This window comes from Homo sapiens, chromosome 12, assembly GCF_000001405.40.
Source record: "Homo sapiens chromosome 12, GRCh38.p14 Primary Assembly".
Lineage (NCBI taxonomy): Eukaryota > Metazoa > Chordata > Mammalia > Primates > Hominidae > Homo > Homo sapiens.
This window is the reverse complement of record NC_000012.12, coordinates 2406919-2425798: the sequence shown is the minus strand read 5'-3', so window position 1 is coordinate 2425798 and position 18880 is coordinate 2406919. Positions and strand designations below refer to the sequence as shown.

Genomic DNA, 18880 nt, shown 5'->3' with positions numbered 1-18880 from the left:
CAGGCTTCCCATGCTTTTCCACCTTCAGTAAAGTCTTTAAAGTGAACTACAAAGCTTTGAGGGGAAAATAGATAAAAAGCTTAGCATTGCAAATGAGGAGAGCATGAAGCCCAGGCTGGAAATGAGGTAAGTGCATTTAAAGCCACACCTCTAAAGACTGGCTGCAAAAGGTTATATTGTAAAGGTAAGGACCAGGGTTCCCTGCTCTCATGGTTTAATCCTTTGGTTCAGTTTTCTCAAATGGCCAATAAGAAGTCAGCAAAATGTGACTTGCTGTTGTCCCAATTATTTCTTATAATCTCGATAATTTTATTTTCTAATAGCCAAATAACAAATTCTATGTTATAAATTTAAGAAAACTCTGAGACACCCACCCAAAAAACAGGAAAAGGAAAAGGAGCAGTATTCCACTTCCTTGAAGCTACTGTTGCTGACATTTTCGCTTATATGATTAATCTACTTCCTTTGTGTGTATTTTTCCAAAATTGCGATTATACTGTTCGTATCATTTTATATTCCCTATTTTTGCTTAACAACAGCTTTTAAACATTTAATACACTGTCAAATTTTGTCTACAATATCATTTCCAATAACCTTATAGCATTCTAGTAGCAGGAATAGCTGTACTATAATTTATTTACCCAATTCTCTGCTTTTGGTGTGTTAGGTTTCTATGCTACCTAGCAATGATTCCGGGCCTATCCCTCCCTGGGGAATGTGACAGCCAGGGCCTGCATTAGCCCCAGGGCTGCCTCATGCCATGCTTCAGTCCCTGACCAGACCTCTGGACTCTCCTTCCCTCCCACAGTGCAGACAGTCGCCCAGGTGAGTCCAGTGGGCCCCACGTCCTCCTCCAGGTGCAGAGGAGCTACTGTTGGCCAATAGAGGACCACAGCCCTGTGACACTGCAGACAAGGACCTGGCCTTGTCATGGTGTTAGGACCCTCCCCGCTTCCTGGCCCTTATCAGCGCCCATGCCCATGGCCTCTGCCAGCTCAGTCTCTGGGAGAGAGGTTTCCTCAACTTCCTCCTCACCCTCCCACAGGACACAGTACCTGGAACAGACTTTGCCACTTCACAATGGAATTGGGAGAGGGAGGCAGGCAGAAGGGTCCTGGAGCTGCTGAAGCTCTTGGAGAAGTGAGTTTCTGCACTGTCGATGCTCTGGGCCCCACTCTCAGCATAGCCCAAGCACTCACCCCCTACCCACATGTGAAAGAAAGCCCCGTTCCAGGCCTGAGCTTTCTGCAAAGTGTCCTAATGCTCTCCATCTCCCTGTCCCTGAGACAACATTCAGTTGACATATTTTTAGCCAAGACACCAAACATCCAAGAAAGAAGTGAATCTGTCTCATGCTGGGTGAAAATAACCATGTCCTCACACACGCTCCTCCACATCTGCTGTGGTTTCTCTCACCTTCTCCCCGTTTTCCCTCCCTCCCCCTTGACTTTTCCTCTCCCCGCTTGCTTTTTCTTTCTGCCTCTTCTCTGGACCTCTCAGATCACCCCTCTCCACCTGAGGATGGACAGCTGAGTGCATTCTGAATGCCTTCACTGAGTCACGTAGGAATTTGGCTAATTGAGGTCTTTCCTGCAAATTGCTGAAAATGTGTGCAGACCCACTGAAGATGGAAAAACACAGAGCTGTTAGCCTCAGCTTGTGGCGCTGAAGACGCCATTAATGAGGCACCAGACCTTGTAATACAGAGATTGGGGGAAATTTACTGATCCATATGGAACCACATAATGTGCGCGGGTTACTGAAGAAACACTGACATCGCAGGCAGTCTCTCCCAAGAGGAGGGGAGGGGGAGCGGGAGGGAGCACGAGCTTGTCCATTCAGCCACCTGCCATGAGCCCATAGTACAGCAATGGCATAACAAGCACCCTGCACCTGCCACTGACCTTACCAGATTATCGGAGGTTGAGGAGGGGAGAATTTCAGCTCCCCAGCCAATACTCTCTCAGGGCTAGATGGGGAAAACATCTCTTTAAACATCATCTTTATTTTTCTCATTACCTTGCCTGCTGCTTCTGACCTGTGGATATAAATCCTAAGGTAGACACAGCGCAGTAAATTCTGGGGTCACTGGGGTCACATACAGACTGTGGGGTCAGTTTCTGAGAAGAGTCCCAGTTATGCCATTTACTTGCTGGGTGTAACTACTATACTACTACCACTGCTGTTAATTGCTACCTCCACCACCTCTACCACTCACTCTATCAACTCATTTTATTACATGTGTTCTATATTCCAACCAGTGTCCCAAGCAGCTTGCATGAATCGTTTCATTTAATCCTCGAAACATCATTATGATGTAAGTATATTACCCCATCCTACCGATGAAGGTACTGAGACACTGAGAGATTAACTTGCCCAAACCACACATATTGTGAGAGCTACGGCAAGTGCTTGAACCCAGGCAGTTTGAGCCCAGAGTCCCCTTTACTTGGCCTTTACTTAGCTTTAATTTCTTCACCTATAAAATGAAGATGATGAAAATAAAGCCAGAGTCATGTGACTGTGGTCAGATACATGCAAGTGCTCTGTCAACTATAAAACGCACCATGAGAATACTAGATACTAGCTGACATCCGTCCCAAAGTGCAGCTTCACTCTGGAGCAGAGAGGGCCCTCTCACAAAGTTACCATAGGATCACACGATTCTAGGGTTGGAAGGGAGCTCGGATGTTATCTTGCACAATCCCCCACTAGATGGAGGGAGTGGGAAATCATGCTAGATGACATCGGAGCTCCCTTCCAAGCTAATCCTCGATGGAGGACGAGATTCGAATTATGGAATTGAAAGAAAACTTCAGGTATCTTGGTCCAACATCAGAGAAGGGAAACGATCCCACTCAGATGACAGGAAGCTAGGAGCAGAGCTGGCCTGAAACCCACACCCTGACCTGGCCAGCGTTTGTTCTGTGCCGGCAGGGAGTGCTGCCTCTCCCTCACTTGCCCCACGGGCCGCTGCAGTTAACCCATTGCCAGGGCTTTGCTTGCTGAGCCACAACACGACTGCAGAACCCTCCTCAACACAGCACTCCAGCAGCTGCTGCCAGTCAGCGCTGACACATAAGGTGGTGCCCTTTACCCTCCCTGCAGGGTATGTGGACTGGCCACACGAGTTAGCACTCAAACAAGGGCACTTTAGAGAGCTAAAGAGGGCAACTATTAATAATTTTGTGGGGGACACAGGTGATTATGCTGGGGTTATCTCAGATGACCTGGAAAACATGGCCATCCTATGGTACTTCAATGAGCCTCCCAAGGCATCCAAGATATACCCAGGTCCTTGTAGGGCAGAAATGCTCTGAAACTGACTTGAAGGAAGGCTTGTTGGGATCCTCTTCCTACAGATGGCTGGGGAGGCACCAAGGGGAAAGAAGGGAAACTCTATTGGTAAAAAAGGACGAAGGCTCAGCTTGGTTCATAGACTTGTCTGCAGAAATGATTCTGCCCTCCGTGGGTTATTTTCCCTCCATTCCACTGGCCTGTAACAGCTATCTTCCTAGCCAAAAGCCATGTATGTCTGCTAATGCTCCCGCTCCTTCCTCCTCCTCTCTTTCTCCTCCTATATTGAATAATTGTTTCTATGGTAGTTTAATTAGCCAACTATGAATGTATTCAGGCATCTCATGGAGGAAGAATCACTTTGTTTACTTTTTGGAAACTGAATGGGCCGCATTTTGTTTCTATTTTGGGATATTTATGGGTATTTTCTGTTTCTAGATTGCAAAATTGAAAAATTAAAGTCTAACCAAGTATTAGTAGATTTCCCTGAGTGGAGGAACAGAGAAAGGTATTTTGTTCACTACCAGGTTGCCCATGTCCTAGCATGGCCATGACAAGAGACAGAGAATTGCGATGCTTTTTTTTTTTTGTTGAGACAGAGTCTTGCTCTGTCACCATGCTGGAGTGCAGTGGCATGATCTTGGCTCACTGCAACCTCTGCCTCCCAGGTTCAAGCGATTCCCCTGCCACAGACTCCCAAGTAGCTGGGACTACAGGTGCACACCACCACACCCAGCTAATTTTTTGTATTTTGGTAGAGACAGGGTTTCACCATATTGGACAGGATGGTCTGGATCTCCTAACCTCATGATCTACCCACCTCGGCCTCCCAAAACGCTGGGATTACAGGTGTGAGCCACTGTGTCCGGCCAGAATTGCGATACTCTTACAGACCCAAGAGAAGAGAGGAAAGGAACTTAGCAGGCTCACCTGACAGAACGCTTATGTTGTAGTGAGATAGAATTAAACTGTTGGACTACTCTAGTTGGGCTGAGTTGACCTCTTCCTTCTCCAATCTGGGATGTTCCTCTCAGATAACTCTCTTTCCCATGGTGAATCCCATTTGTCCCTCAAAAAAGAATTGAGGCAGATTTAATTAACAGTATGAAACTTCAAGCGTGCAAAGTTCTAAGCAGGCATTGCCTCATTGACTCCAGTTTGCTTCAGACATTGACTGAGTCTTGCTTTTCCTTTGCCCTTACGTGTTCTATGAAACAAGTTTCAGAAGTTATATGAGAGGTTAATTGGGCAGATTATCCTAGCAAAATAGTTGCAAACCCAGTTAACACAAGAAAATTACAATCATCACATGTTTTATATATTTCTAAGTTCCCTATAATTTTTTTTGCTAAGCTTTAAATATTCTGCACGTTTGGGTTGGAAGTATGAGAAAAACAATCTGAAAACTTTATGTAACAGCAAATGAAACTGTCTTCTTGACACTGATGGAGACTTCAACTTAGTTAGTCACTAATAGTTTACCTTCTTAGCTATTATGGCCATTTTAAAATTTAATTCACAGGATCTGACTAAAATAAGGGTGCATTTCCTACCATTAGAAGAGATAAAGGCACTAAGGTTTCAGAGCACCCCCAAGGACATTCGGGGCTCCAGAACTGCACACAGAGCTTCAAATACAAAACCCCATTCCATCTTCACAGTGATCGTGAGAAATAGGTATGTTCCTCCAGATATGGAAGCCAGGTGAGAGCAATGCAAGGCGCAGAGCCAGGGCTGGAATCCTGCTGTGATTCCTACCCAGGTCCCGGCTCTGCCCAGCACCCCAGGCTGCTGCTGGATGCTCACCATGTTTTATTGGCCCATTCCAAACGTCTCTGAGTTCCTACAGATGTTCCAGAGACCTTGCTTAGAGAGACACTGTGGGCAAATGCAAAATCCCTTTTGTTCTTCACTTGGAGGATGCAATGAAAGGGACTGGGTTAATTTAATAACAGTGTCACTCTCCTTCCACCTTGGCCCAACACACATACCTGCTTCAGGACTGAGATGACCAGTTACAGCATGCAGGGAGAAAAGCCAGTGGGAGGACACAGCTCTGAGACAAGAAGCCTTTCCTTTATCAGGATGGCAGCTCTGTCTAATGAAGGTGGCCCCAGTCAACCACACCATCCCTCCCACAGCCTCAGCATCACAGCGGGGGTGAAAGCCTGGTGGCATCTCCCTGGTCCAATCTCTCATATGAATTAACAGTGGCAGCTGGCTGGAACGCAACTTCCAAGGATGGAGGGAAAGAGGAGGGAGGTTCAGTTAGTGGGAGTGGCTCCATGTCCCTGTTGGCTCTGTAGCTCTTTATTATCTGGTATTCTCTCCCTGTTGAATGCTCCCTCCCCCTACACACACACACACACACACACACACACACACACACACACACACACCATTTTGCCTAAGTCTGATTACCCTGTCTGGCTGCGTTGTCCTGACATCCAGAGGGGTGAGGCCATGGCCAAAGTGACCCCATTACGAAAAGCTTGGCAGGGCCAGAGCAAGGCTGAAAGTGCAATGTGGGCCAAATTGGAGACTGGTGGCGGGTACAGAGATGGTGTGGAAGTGACCCTAGCACAGGGCAGGCTGGGCCCCGGCACCCATGATGACACAGGTATGAAGCCCCCATCCAGCCTCAGCACTGGCTGCCCTCTCTCCCGTGTGGTTGAGGTTGGATTGCAGAGTCAAAATCTCTTAGGGGGAGAGGCCACATACACCCTTGAGAATTCTCTTCTCTTCTTTATTGCTGCAACCACTATTCCTCAAGGGCCTACTGTGTGTGAAGGAAGGGTTTGTGCCCCTGTCTAGAGGGACTATTCTTTGAACCCCCAAATCAGGACACACAGATGGACAAGTCTCAATTTATTTGGAACATTCTGGACTGCGGGGCCCCTGCTTATGCCCTAACGAGTCTAATTTGATGTGACACATGATTCATGGTAGATCTGGGATGACAGAAAGAAAGGGAACTGGCATGGTGGTGCTATAGTTCAGATATCTGTCCCTCAAATCTCATGTTGAAATGTCATCCCCAACACTGGAGGACTGGAGGTGGGCCTGGTGGGGGTGTTCAGGCCGTGGCGGTGGATCCCTCATGTCTTGGTGCTGTCCTTGGGATAGGGAGTTCTCATGAGATCTGGTTGTTTAAAAGTGTGTGACACCTCCTCCCTCCCTCTCTCTTGCTCCCAATCTTGCCATGTGACATTTCCTGCTCCCCCTTCACCTTCTGCCATGATTGGAAGCTTCCTGAGGCCTCATCAGAAGCTGACGCTGGTGCTGAGTTTCCTTTACAACCTGCAGAACTGTGAGCCAACGAAACCTCTTTTCTTATAAATTACCCAGCCTCAGGTATTTCTCTACAGCAACGCAACAATGGCCTAATACAGGCAGAGAGGCCTAGGGTTGCAGGAAGGCGTTATGCCCCGGAGGGCCTCAGTTTTCTAATCTGTAAAATGAACACCCCATCCTTTTGCTCCCTCCTAGTGCTTATTTTATAATGTAAAATCACATATAGTGCTGCATGTACACATTTGTTTGTATGTTTCCATAGGGGTCTGTAACTTCCAACAGACCATAAGGGGCTCTGTGACTCCAGGAGGTAAAGAACCCCTCAGCTCCCAATCCCCTCTACAAGCAGTGGAGCTGGGGGTCAGCATGCTCCCACTGGGGGTCAGCATGGGCTGCATCTGAGGCTAAACCTGGCTCGTGTCAGGTTGTAGGACCCCACCTCCCTAGAGGCTCCACTGGCCAGTTGTCCAGGGGTGTCAGCTCCCTGCAGGCAAAGGTGAGTCCCACTGATCAGGATTGCCCAAGTGCTCTTTGAAACTCATTTTACTTGCTGGAGGAGGGATCCTGGGCCCTTCCCGGGATGATGCAGTCCTTGTGGTGCATAACTGGAACATAACACAAGAGCCTTTTCCTCCTCTTCCTGCCCTCCTCCTCCTCTCTCTCCTCACTCAAACACTCATCTCCTCCACAGGGCTCTGGCCTAACTGAGCAACAGTCTGCTGTGGGCAGGGCTTGTTTTACAGGCTCTTCCCCTGCCCTCGTCAGGCCCGCAACTCTGCCAGGTTCTCTCTCTCTACTAAAACCTACTCTCAGGACAGATTCGATGTTAGTCATTCACACCTTACTGCACAACCCAATGGCAGTGGTTGCTCTCCTTGGAGCGTCTGAACTTGCACCTGTTGTATTTATAGCCATCTGAAATGTGGAAGACCCCATCCAAAGGCAAAAGAGGTGGGAGGTGGGGAGCACTGTGGGGCAGCAGAGGCTCCAAAATCAAAGGCCACCCGCAGCCCAGGAGAAGCCAGCCTGGGAGATGCCTGCCGTAATGCTAGGGTTCTGCCTATCTGTCTATGCAGCTGAGCGAGCTGAGGCAGAAGGTTAGACAGGGACCCAAAAGCAGAGAGGGAGCGGCTCCCTCATCCTGTGGGAAAGAATCACTTAAGTAAGGTCAACTTCCTCTGCTTGATGTAAGCCCAGTAACAGCAGGAACTGCACCTGGTTTTGGTCTCCACTGAAGTCCCTGCTGAGCCCAGCACCTGTACCTGGGAGGCCCCGCACAGGTATTTGCTGAATATGCAGCTAGAAGAATGTCTGCTCTGGGAGGCCCCCCTTGCCATTCCTGTGTCAATCTTTATTGCTACAGGCGGGAGGGGTAGCCACCTGCAGGGGGGAATTGGAGCACAGTGAAAAGTCTCCTGCCCAAAATCTCTCTCTGGTTTCCAAAACTGTCAGCATTCACATCACTCACTTCTCAAGGGCCTTTTCAAGGAGATGAGATTTTTAACTGAATGAGAACGTTCTGCTACCTGGGAGGGATGATACATTAGCACAGATTAATGTTTCTGATTAACAGCATCATTACCTCTCCCTTGTCATCCGCCTGGACCACCTTGCAGCCAGTCACATGCCACCAAACAGACTGCAGCACACGCACAGGGCCCCTTGATCCGACAGGCCAGAAAGAGGTCCTTGGCGCGTACCTCCTGGGAATTTTTAACAAACTGCCTGGGCCCTATCCCCAGAGACAAGGTAAACAGCGGCCAGGGAAGGGCCCCAGGCATTAGCGTTTTTAAAAGCACCCACAAGCACTGTCAGCCAGAGTTGAGATCCACTGAACCTGTTGTGGGTGTCTGTAGCCACTACCGTGCAGGCCCATGAGGTGAAGGTGAATGACTGCAAGTGGGTCACAACTGCTGGAAGCTGATCATGACAGGACATCACCGGGCGGGAGCCACAGATACAACCCGCATCGCAGAGTATGGGCTAGCTACAAGGAGTCTCCCCACGCATGGAAACGGCCACTTTTAGGAGAAGGCCTTCTACATCAGCATGACATGAGCTAGGTCTGATTTCACCATTGGACCAAAGCGACATCCTTGCCAGAGGACTGGCTGCTCCACATTGTATAGAAGTGACTGCAACAGCACACTTGATCCACTGCAAGCATGTTTAAGAGAGGTGTGTACGGAACAAGACTTTCCACAACAGGGAGAGGCAGTCACTAACATCTAAAGGACTGTCTGTGATGAAAAGCCAAGTAGCATGAGGAATGTGAACACTCCGGATGTGGAGCTAGAAGAGCTGGGTTCGAATCCGGCCTCTGCTTCTTGCTAGTTGTGTGAACTCTGGCCAGTCCCTTAGCCTCTCTGATTCTTAGAGTCCTCGTTTGTAAAGGGTCCTTTTCAGAGGGTTGTGATGAAAACGAAGTGAAATTGTGTCTGAGATAATGACTTCCACAGTCAGTGTCAAGTAAAAATTAACTCCTCTTCTCCCACTTCTGATGGAGACGTTCCCTGGCATGGTGGGTGGAGTCCCAATTGTCACCCACAGGACTTCTGCCTTGTACATCTTACTGCAGGCTCAGAGCGTGGTGGTTGAGCCCAGAGTCTGGAGACAGACTGGTTCTGGAGCCAGGTGCTGCCACTTACTAGTGGTTTGACCTGGGACAAATTCCTTAAGCACTGTGCCTTAGTTTCCCCTCTATAAAATGGAGACGGTAGCAGCTACCCTATTGGGTTAAAACTTATAAATATTACAATCGTCCCCCACTCCTTCCTTCCTTCTCTTTTTTCTTCCTCCCTTCCCCTCTCTTTTCCTCCCTCCTTCCTTCCCTCCTTCCTTTTCTTCCACCACTCCTTCCATTCTTTCATTCCTTTTCCTTTCCGATAGAGCATCTCCAATGTGCCTGATACTTTCCAGGCCCACGAAATAGAGTGGGGAACAAGAGAAGAAAGAGAAAGCGAGCCATAAAGGAAGGGTGCTGTCACGGAGGTGCACGCAGGTGGGAAGGACGGTAAATGAGTGAACAAATAAGACCTTTCTAAAATAGCGATGAGCTGTCAAAGGAAAACAACCAGGGCTGAGAGAGGCCTCTCTGAGAAGGAGGCACTGGAGCTGGGACCCGCAGGACAAGAAGGGACCAGCTTGAGGATACACGTGAAGAGGTCCCGCCCCCACACCCTCACCTCAGCAAAGCCTGAAACCTGGGCTCCTCTGAGAGGACAGAAAGGGAAGGGGAGAGGAAGGAGCAGGAAGAGAAGCCTGCAGTCAGCACTGAGAGTCACCCAGCGCATAAGAGAAGGGTGGCCGGGAAATGCGGGGAAGGGGTGCCTGATAAGAGCTGGCCAGGGAAAGGGCAGGTTGACCACACTTGGAGGAGAGAAAGGTAGGCAAAGAGAGAAGCAAAGACAGAGAGGGGCTGGGGGACGAGGCCACCATGGCGGGGACTCCTGCATTAGCTGCTCAATGAGAGCCGCCAAGCTCAGCTCTGGTCACATCAAGCAGGAAGGCCCCGAACACACAGGGCTGTAACTGCCACTGACGGTCACCACTGTCCGACCTCTGCCTCCCCAGGGCCTCTGCTTGACCAACTCAGAGGAGAGCGGCAGCCACAGAGTGTGTCACTGTTTTCATTTCTTCTTCTTGGGACGGTGGTGTTATTCCTGCTGCCAGTACTGTTTTTTATTTTCATTTTCTGTGGCCTTGGAGAAAATACATAAAGTATTTCCACTTGGAAGAAAAGCTGAATATTTCCTTTTCATGATCACAGCTCAGGTCACCAGCTTGCTGCCATGGGGCACTACAGGGGCGCTGCGCGGCCTCCACGGGAGGCTTGGAAGTCAGTGTACCGGCCAGGCTCAAGTTTGGAAACGTAGGTAGAAAAGCGTGGATGTGGCTCATAGGACAACAGGCGAATGGTTGAGCCTACTCACAGTGGAAGAAACAAGGTGAGAGATAAAAAAGACTAGCAAAAATTACTAGAGAGGAACATTTAAAAATACAAAGGAGAATAAAAAGGCAAATAGGAAGAGAAAACATACAAGAGCAAGACAGAAAAGTGGATCCTCTGCGTGAGCCCCCTCGCCACCCTGACAGAACCTGGGTTCAGGTCCCACACTCGCATGCCACAGAGGTATCTGCCCAGCAGAAGAGGGTGTGCGTGCCTATGGAACAGGAGCCCATGGCACACACAGACCGTGTCGGGTGCCTTGGGGAAGAGAGCCCGGTGGGCATGACTCATACCTGACTCCAGGAGGCGGTAAGCCCTGTTTTGGGTCCCCTGGGAAAAGAACTGGCCTTTGGGCCAGTTCTTGGGAGAAAGAAAGCCCGTGATCCCAGCACCCCTGTCCAACTGAAGCCAGGGTCTCCCCGGCAGACACCTGACTGCCCTCTGGCTAGAAGTGACATCTCCAGCTCAGGGCTGCCCACATTCAGTAAGGGGTACAAAAAACTTGGGAAACACTGGGTTAAGCAAAGTCCAAAGGTTTCTTTGCTACAGGACTTCTCAGAGCCTTTAATGAGCTCGTATGCCCTGTGACACTCAATCAGAGGTAGAGGCTGCAGTCAGCTGACACCCGGAACACAGAACCCTTTCATTTTTTAAAAATCTCAGAATAGCTGTTGACATCTCAAAGGACGCTGCCCTTCCTTTGACACTGGTAGGTGGGAAGCCTGACGCAGGCATAAAGACACCAGCTGAACTTAGTTCCTATCCAGGCCTCCCAGGTCCTTCCCTTCCCTTCTGTTCCCACTAAGCACAGGCAATCAAAATCCGGCCATCCACGGGAAGCTGGTGTCTGCCTCATGGCTTATGTACGACTTCACCTTTGATGATCTCAGTAAAATTCCCATTCCCAAATTCTGAGCCACAAAAGGAATGGGAAGTTTGTGTTGCTTAAGTGCTAGTCCTTTTAAAAGAAATATTGAAAATGATGGGCTCTAGTGGAGTGAGGAGAATACAGAGACAGGCAGCTATGTCCTGAGTGAGTGCCATGTGCAGACAGTAAATCAAGTGACACTTGGAACACGGGTGACTAGTGTCATCCCCATCTTACAGATAAGGCAACTAAAACTCAGAGATTACGCCACTTATCCCGGGTCCCACGGCCAGCAAATAACGGAGACGGGATAGGACTTGGGCCAGTCTTACTCTGAATCCCACTCTCTCTGCACTGCCTAATGTTGCATCCCTGCTATGCAAGGCACTGATTTGAGTTTTGGGGGCAGCCTTGGGTGGGGGGTTATTTAAAAACTCATCAGATGGTCTCAGCTTTTAAGGAGCTTATAGTCTAGCAGGAGAGGAAAACTCCTGTTCCCTAACAAAGAAGTGCCTGGGGAAGAGGAAGGGAAGCTCACCTCTAGCTCAGGAACGGGAGGCATTTGAGCTGGGCCTTAAAGGACAGAAGAGTTCCAATGGCCTAAATGGCAGTGGAGGGCCTTCTCCGTGGAAGGACCATGGTGAGCAAAGATGCAGGTGGGAAAGGTCAGGTTGGCTTTGGGGACCCGTGTGTCTCACATGAGGTTATGGAGGGACGGCGGGACTTGAGTGAGATGGTAGGACGGCGGCCAGACCCAGCCAGAGGGGCTGTGAAACCTCAAACACAGCAGTTTTGCAGCAGGATGGTAGGAGGTTTCGGGATAGCGGGCTTTGGAACAGCATGTCGCTGCATTTTATCAGAGCTCTGTTGACACATGTCTGGTCCAATAAATTAACATTTCCATCTCAGCTGACTTCATTTGGCAGGAGCAATAAATTCACATGGCAATTCAAACTGAGGAGGGGAAGAGTGTTGGGGGAGGGGGCCTATGGGGATAGGATAGATGGTAGAGTCATTCACGCTTTATCAAATTGCTTTCATTTGTTCATGCAGTCATTCAAAAAGCATTGGGTAGGCTGGGTGTGGTGGCTCACGCCTGTAATCCCACCATTTTGGGAGGCTGAGGCGGGTGGATCACCTGAGGTCAGGAGTTCAAGACCAGCCTGGTCAACATGGTGAAACACGTCTTTAGTAAAAATACAAAAATTAGCTGGGCGTGGTGGTACACACCTGTAGTCCCAGGTACGTGGGAAGTTTAGGCAGGAGAATCACTTGAACCCAGGAGGCGGAGGTTGCAGTGAGCCGAGATCACGCCACTGCACTCCAGCCTGGGCGACAGAGCGAGACTCCTTCTCAAGAAAACAAAAAAGCATTGGGTCGGCCCAAGAACCAGCTTATTTTATGAGAGTATCTTTCTAGCAGCCAATTCACTTATATCATAAATTTTACTTACATTTTGAATTGTTAGGCTTGGACAGAGTTGCATGCTTTTCAGAGTCTTTTCTCAGTGTGCCCTCATGTCATTTATTCCACAATTCTATCCCGTAGAATAGGTTCTCTGCTACGTACTCAACATGAGACAAACCTACATTCAGACACGTTTATTCCTCCAGCATAGCCCCTTCCTCCTGATTTCAATAGTTTGAAAACTCAGCAAATCCATTGTATAGGCATCTCTTAAATATCTATTTATTTACATATTGATCAATATATTTATTCTCTGGTTCAAAAAAAAGTGAGATGATTTACTGAGCACTTACTATGAAGCGGAGGTGACTGAATTAAATTGAATTAATGACAGAGATAGGGCAAACTTACTCACTCGCAGCTCAATGTGCTTTCTCCCGAGCCCTAAAGCAAAGCATACAGTGTGAGCCTCTGGCCGCGGGGGCGCCTGTCTCACTGCTGGGCTCCTGGAGCTTATGCATCTCTTATCTCCTGGAGACCATGGTTTAAGCAGCCAGGTCTGCTGGGCACCGCCCCTTATCCCCATGATCTCAAAAGATCCAGGGAGGGCCTGAAGAGCACTTAATGGAGTACAAAGCCACAAACGTCACTGCCTGACCCGTTTCTCTAAGAAGCCAGGTCTGAGGTTATCGAGGCACATAGAGAAGGCCTCTCCGGTGTGTGCTGTGGAAGGACGGCCTTGCCAGCAGGGATTGTGGGGGGCCTTTGTGGTATCCTGGGCGTCCTGCAGTGGGGCTGGGGCTGTGGTGAGGGAAGGAAGGGACCCCTGCCTGGGGAGCTGCTTTTCCTGAGGGACCTCCACAGCCACAGGGGTAACGAGCTAAGGGCAGTGGAGTGGCAGGTGGGCATGGGGGGGGCTTGGGCGTGGGGAGCCGGGGTCTTGGGCGTGGGGAGCCAGGGCCTAGCTCGAGCAAGAAGACAGCTCTGGGGCCCAGAAAGCCTCTTCCTGGCTCCACAGGACAGCTCAGAGGGACAGCCAGGAGGGAGAGGCTATCTAAGTCAAACGCCTTCCCCTTTCATGGCCCCTGTGCCTCCGACTTCTCTCCCCAAATGAAAGGAAGCAGACATCTGCAATTCCTTTGGGGCAGAGCTTCAGAAGGATGGTGCAGCTTTCTGCCTCCAGCCCAGCAATCCTGAGGATGGGGGAGGAGCCTCAGGGTGGACAGACAGCAGCGCTGGGCTAATCCCCTGCACACACCTGAGGATCTGAAATCTTCTTCTTATTGGATTCCCTTCAGCAAGCCCTGGAAACCTCTGGGCTCCCTGGTGTAAAAGGTGAAAGGGTGGCCAGGCTACCTCATGGCTGCTTTCTGAACGAGGGGCTCTTGGTTGCCTCCGGTGACTCCGGCAAGGCCAGGGCCCGGGGACTAGGAACAGAGGCAAGGGCTCTGTTCCTCCTGGTTCTTAGCTGCTCTGAACACACAGCCAGCAGTGCCATTTTAGCCCACAGAAGGAGCAGGGCTTCTGTAGTTGTTGTTAGTGGTTTTCACTCAGCGAAAAATAGAACCGTAACATTCCAGTGTACCCCCCACCTCCAGCCCCTCACTCCCTAATTCTAACAGGTCTTTCACCTGCCTTGTCCCTAAAGGTCCTAGGGCTCTGACTCTGCCCGTGACTGAGTACTTCCAGTCACCCTGCTTTTCCTGTCTATATAAGGCCTGCCTTCATTGCAGCTCTCCACCGCAGGGCTGCTGTGGGCTGAGGCTGCTGCTCTGTCCTTCTTCCCCGCTCGAGTGGTGAGGCTCCTGATACCCCACAGGGCTCAGGAGGTGGGGAGGAGGCAGGCTTTGCTGGGGACAGTTGGAAATACCCAACACATACACGGGCGGAGCAGTTGGGGACATCATGATGGTGAGATTTGCGCTGATCTAGGCCCTTCCTAAGAGGCAGAACTGGCCTCTCTGGAGAGTGATGGAGCCTGGTAGTCTTACAGGTACTGGGCCTCTCATGCTGCAAGGGGAGTAGGGAGAGAAAGATGAGAGAAAAATCCATGTCACAATGGGAGGCAGCCAGGAGAAGGGAAGGATAGGGCAGCCAGGAGAAGGGAAGGATAGGAAGGCCATCCTCACAGCCAGGGTCAGCTCCTGAAACACACACACGCACATGCACACGCACACACACACATATACACACACAGGGGAGCCATCCTGACAACTAGAGTCAGCTCCTGGAATACACACACGCATGCACACACACACATGCGTGCACGCACACACACACACACAGGCGAGCCATCCTCACAGCTAGAGTCAGCTCCTGGAACACACACACGCATGCACACACACACACACACAGGCGAGCCATCCTCACAGCTAGAGTCAGCTCCTGGAACACACACACGCATGCACACGCACATGCACAGGGTCCAGATGCTTTTTACTCCAAGCATATTTTTTCCTCATTTACTTTAAATATTTGGTTTTGGCATCCTTTGCACAAAGTAATCCATGGAAATCATGGTCCTTTGAAAACGAAAACTATATCATGCACCAATTCCTTGCTGGGGTCCACTCATGACAAACTTCCACAACCAGAGCCACAGTGATTCCAGAGAGAAGGGAGGTGGTGGGACACGAAGGGCCTTGTGCCCTTTTCTGCTGTGAATGGGAGGCCAGGGTTGTGTTTCCAAAAATGGGTGGTGGGGCTGCTAAAACGGTGCCCGGCGACGAGCTCGTTGAGGTCGATTCTGCGGTCGCCATAGGCATCACGACTGGCCAAGCCTCAGTGCTGCGGGGAAGGACCCTGTCCCTCTGGCAGATTGGAGTGGGAACAGAATGCATGAGCCCACCATCCAAGGCTGACAGCTAAAAGCAACCCACAGTCTGAGAGGACGAAGCTGCCAGCTTGCTGAGGCCCGCGGCTGGCAGGTGAGGATGATTCATTCCCACCCCGAGCGAAAATTCTCCTCTGTTTGCGTTCCTGTCTCTCCGAGCTGTCCTGCTCATCCACCTCTCCCTTCCACTAGTTCTCCCTTGTGCTCTCCCTTCCTCTCCTGCCCCATTTTCCTCCTAGCCCTACTTCCCTCTCCTCCCTGACCTGAGAGGGACTGTGTACATCACACCTGCGTTGCCTCCACCTCCCCTGCTGGGCAGCGGGCCCTGCGTTGGCTCCTCTTTCTTGCATTTGGCACAAGTGCCATGGGAGGCACCAAGGGAGCACAGGTACTTGCCTTGCTAGGGTGAACACTGCAGCTTCAGGGAGGACTATAAGGGGTTTGGGGGGGACTGCGAGGAAGTGGCAGACAGAAAGAGGACCCGCAATCAAGGCACCTAACTTCAAGGGGAACAACAGACAAACATCATTTCTAATTTGGTTTTTGCTTCAAGCACAATTGCCAACAAAAATTAAGAAATTATGGTGAGAAACCTAAAATAGGAGTCTCGTTGAAGATTCTACCTGTAGTGACCGTCCACTGCTGGTTAATATATCCATCAGCAAAAACTCATCAAGGAGGGCACACCTACGGTGATACCTCCATTCTCAACCTCCTGGTCTGACGGTGCTCTTGACTTTATCAGAGCTGACTAGCCTGAACCTGAAGATACTTCCCAGAGGATGGGTCCCTAGGGATGATCTAGTTCTACACCTGTCACTTTAGTGGTGAGGGGTCTGAGGCTAAACATCTAGGGGAAGGAGACGATCAGCTGATTAGTGGCAAAACTAGGTCGGAACCCAAACATCCCAATTCAAAGCCCATTGCTTTTACCAGGGTGCTACATCAGGGTGCTTCATCCAAGAAGTGTTTTAACAGTCAGCAGTTATCATGAGGACAAAAGGACAAGTCCAATGTAAGTGTGTATGATCACATGTGCTAACAAGAGTGTAAAAGGAACAGAGCCACGAGCTGAAGACACTAACAGGACAAGAAGACAAGGATCAGCATAAGTAGGATAAACTAATGTGATTATGAGTGGCACTAGTCAACACACCTGGGATTAGTATTATTGCAACATTGGGCAAAAGAGATATTGAGGAAGGGGATGTCACGGAGGATGGCAATAGGCTTCTTACTTGATGTTATGACTGGTGCCCTGGAAATGTCTAGAAATATCAATGCAAGGTTTCAGAAGTAGGAGTCCTTTTCCATGAAAATGAAATATATTTTTCAGCTATAAGTTTTATATACTAAATTGAAATGAATAAGACTTCACTAGTGAGCAAAAAGAAATGAAATGTGGACAAAACTCTTCACATAAAGTGGCCTGGAGACTTCTGCTTCCAGAAAGATGGAGTAGACACATCTTTCCCTACTAAGTGCAACCAAAATCCCTGTACGTTATATGTAAAAGAAACATAAAAAGACTCTAAAAGAGGAGAGAAGCAGTAGACCAGAAGGGAACCCCAGGACCTGAGGAATAACATAGCAGAGTTCTCTGGATTCCTGGGGAACCCAGAAACATCAAAAGGTACAGACCAAAAAAAAAAAAAAGCCCCAATTAGAGCCTCCTCTCGTTAGCCAAAAGCCCAGGAAAGGGGAAGTCTAGCAAGACCCAGACTTTGTAAAACTGTGGTAAAATATACATAACATAAAATTTACTGCGTTAGCCATTTTTAAGTGTAGCATTCAGTGGCATTAAGCACATTTACATTGTTGTGCAATTATCACCACCCATCTCCTGAGCTTTTTCATCCTCCCAAACTGAAACTCTGTATTTAATAAATAATAAATCCCCATGATCCCTTCCCTCCAATCCCTGGAAACTACAATTCTACTCTTTGTCTCTGTGAATTTGCCTAGTCTGGGTACCTCACGTAAGTGGAACCATGTAATATTTGTTCTTTTGTGTCTGGCTTATTTTACTTAGCATAATGTTTTCAAGGTTCACCCATGTTGTAGCGTGTGTTGGAAATTCCTGGTTCCCCACCTGTCTTGATGCCACCCCGGCAAAAGAGTTGGGGTGCCTTGTTACAGCCTGATGAGGATGGACGTTGAGGTTCCCCACTTGGCCTTTGCTGGGGGAAGAGTGGGTGAAGCCGCAGTGTTTCTTGTGGTGTTTGGCTGGAGGAGAATAGTTATTGTCTAACATTTTCTGTCTTAATATAAAAATAAGCAAAGGATTTGAATAGACATTTCTCTAAAGATCTACAAATGGCCAATATGCACATGAAAAGATGCTCGACATCACTAGTCATTAGGGAAATGCAAATCAATACCACTGCACACTTATCAGGACGGCTATTATCAAAAGGACATTCCTTCCCACTGGGTCATGATGAGGCTCCCCAGTACCCACATGGTGTCAGTGGAGACGATGTCCACCGCACACTTATCAGGACGGCTATTATCAAAAGGACGTTCCTTCCCACTGGGTCATGATGAGGCTCCCCAGTACCCACATGGTGTCGGTGGAGACGATGTCCACTGCACACTTATCAGGACGGCTATTATCAAAAGGACGTTCCTTCCCACTGGGTCATGATGAGGCTCCCCAGTACCCACATGGTGTCGGTGGAGACGATGTCCACTGCACACTTATCAGGACGGCTATTATCAAAAGGACGTTCCTTCCCACTGGGTCATGATGAAGCTCCCCAGTACCCACATGGTGTCGGTGGAGACGATGTCCACTGCACACTTATCAGGACGGCTATTATCAAAAGGACGTTCCTTCCCACTGGGTCATGATGAGGCTCCCCAGTACCCACATGGTGTCGGTGGAGACGATGTGAGAAAACTGAACTTCCACCCCAACTAGGCAGTAATGAGGTGTGCCCCCCTTTCCCTGCCGAAGTGGTGTCAGAGGAGGTCTAAGGGAGCGCCAGGACATTCACCATGTGGTAATGAGGCCTCTCCCTCGCTGCGGTGTCGGTGAGGCAGTAACGAGGCTCCCCTCTGCCTCCAGCCAGGGTGGTATCAGCAGAGGTCTGGCAGTGAGCCTGAGCCACGCCAGCAGTAATGAGGAGGCCCTGCCTCACTGAGTGCTGATGGGGGCCGAGTGGGAACCTGACTTCCACCCTTACTGGAATAGCAAGATGGTGGCATCCCTCCTCCCTGCTGGGTCAGT

General features: G+C 49.5%; 1 protein-coding gene across 56 annotated transcripts in view, besides 3 other annotated features; it reads right to left on the bottom strand.

Moving 5' to 3' along the window:
- CACNA1C (calcium voltage-gated channel subunit alpha1 C) overlaps positions 1-18880 on the bottom strand; it is a 727171-nt gene that overhangs the window by 272152 nt on the left and 436139 nt on the right. The window contains exon 1 of one of the 56 annotated variants that reach the window (XM_047429520.1): positions 4228-6466. The exons of the other annotated variants lie outside the window; for them this stretch is intronic. The gene's annotated coding sequence lies outside the window, so the exon portion shown is untranslated. Of the gene's footprint in view, positions 1-4227; positions 6467-18880 lie in introns of those variants that run through there. 56 annotated transcript variants of the gene reach the window in all.
- Positions 368-908: an enhancer, noted in NCBI's record as "NANOG-H3K27ac-H3K4me1 hESC enhancer chr12:2534057-2534597 (GRCh37/hg19 assembly coordinates)". NCBI's record gives its function as "activates a minimal SCP1, AML or CMV promoter by ChIP-STARR-seq in naive H9 embryonic stem cells {active_cell/tissue: H9 hESC(naive)}" and the evidence as "EXISTENCE:reporter gene assay evidence [ECO:0000049][PMID:30033119]".
- Positions 9717-10216: an enhancer, noted in NCBI's record as "H3K4me1 hESC enhancer chr12:2524749-2525248 (GRCh37/hg19 assembly coordinates)". NCBI's record gives its function as "activates a minimal SCP1, AML or CMV promoter by ChIP-STARR-seq in primed H9 embryonic stem cells {active_cell/tissue: H9 hESC(primed)}" and the evidence as "EXISTENCE:reporter gene assay evidence [ECO:0000049][PMID:30033119]".
- Positions 15372-16134: an enhancer, noted in NCBI's record as "H3K27ac-H3K4me1 hESC enhancer chr12:2518831-2519593 (GRCh37/hg19 assembly coordinates)". NCBI's record gives its function as "activates a minimal SCP1, AML or CMV promoter by ChIP-STARR-seq in primed H9 embryonic stem cells {active_cell/tissue: H9 hESC(primed)}" and the evidence as "EXISTENCE:reporter gene assay evidence [ECO:0000049][PMID:30033119]".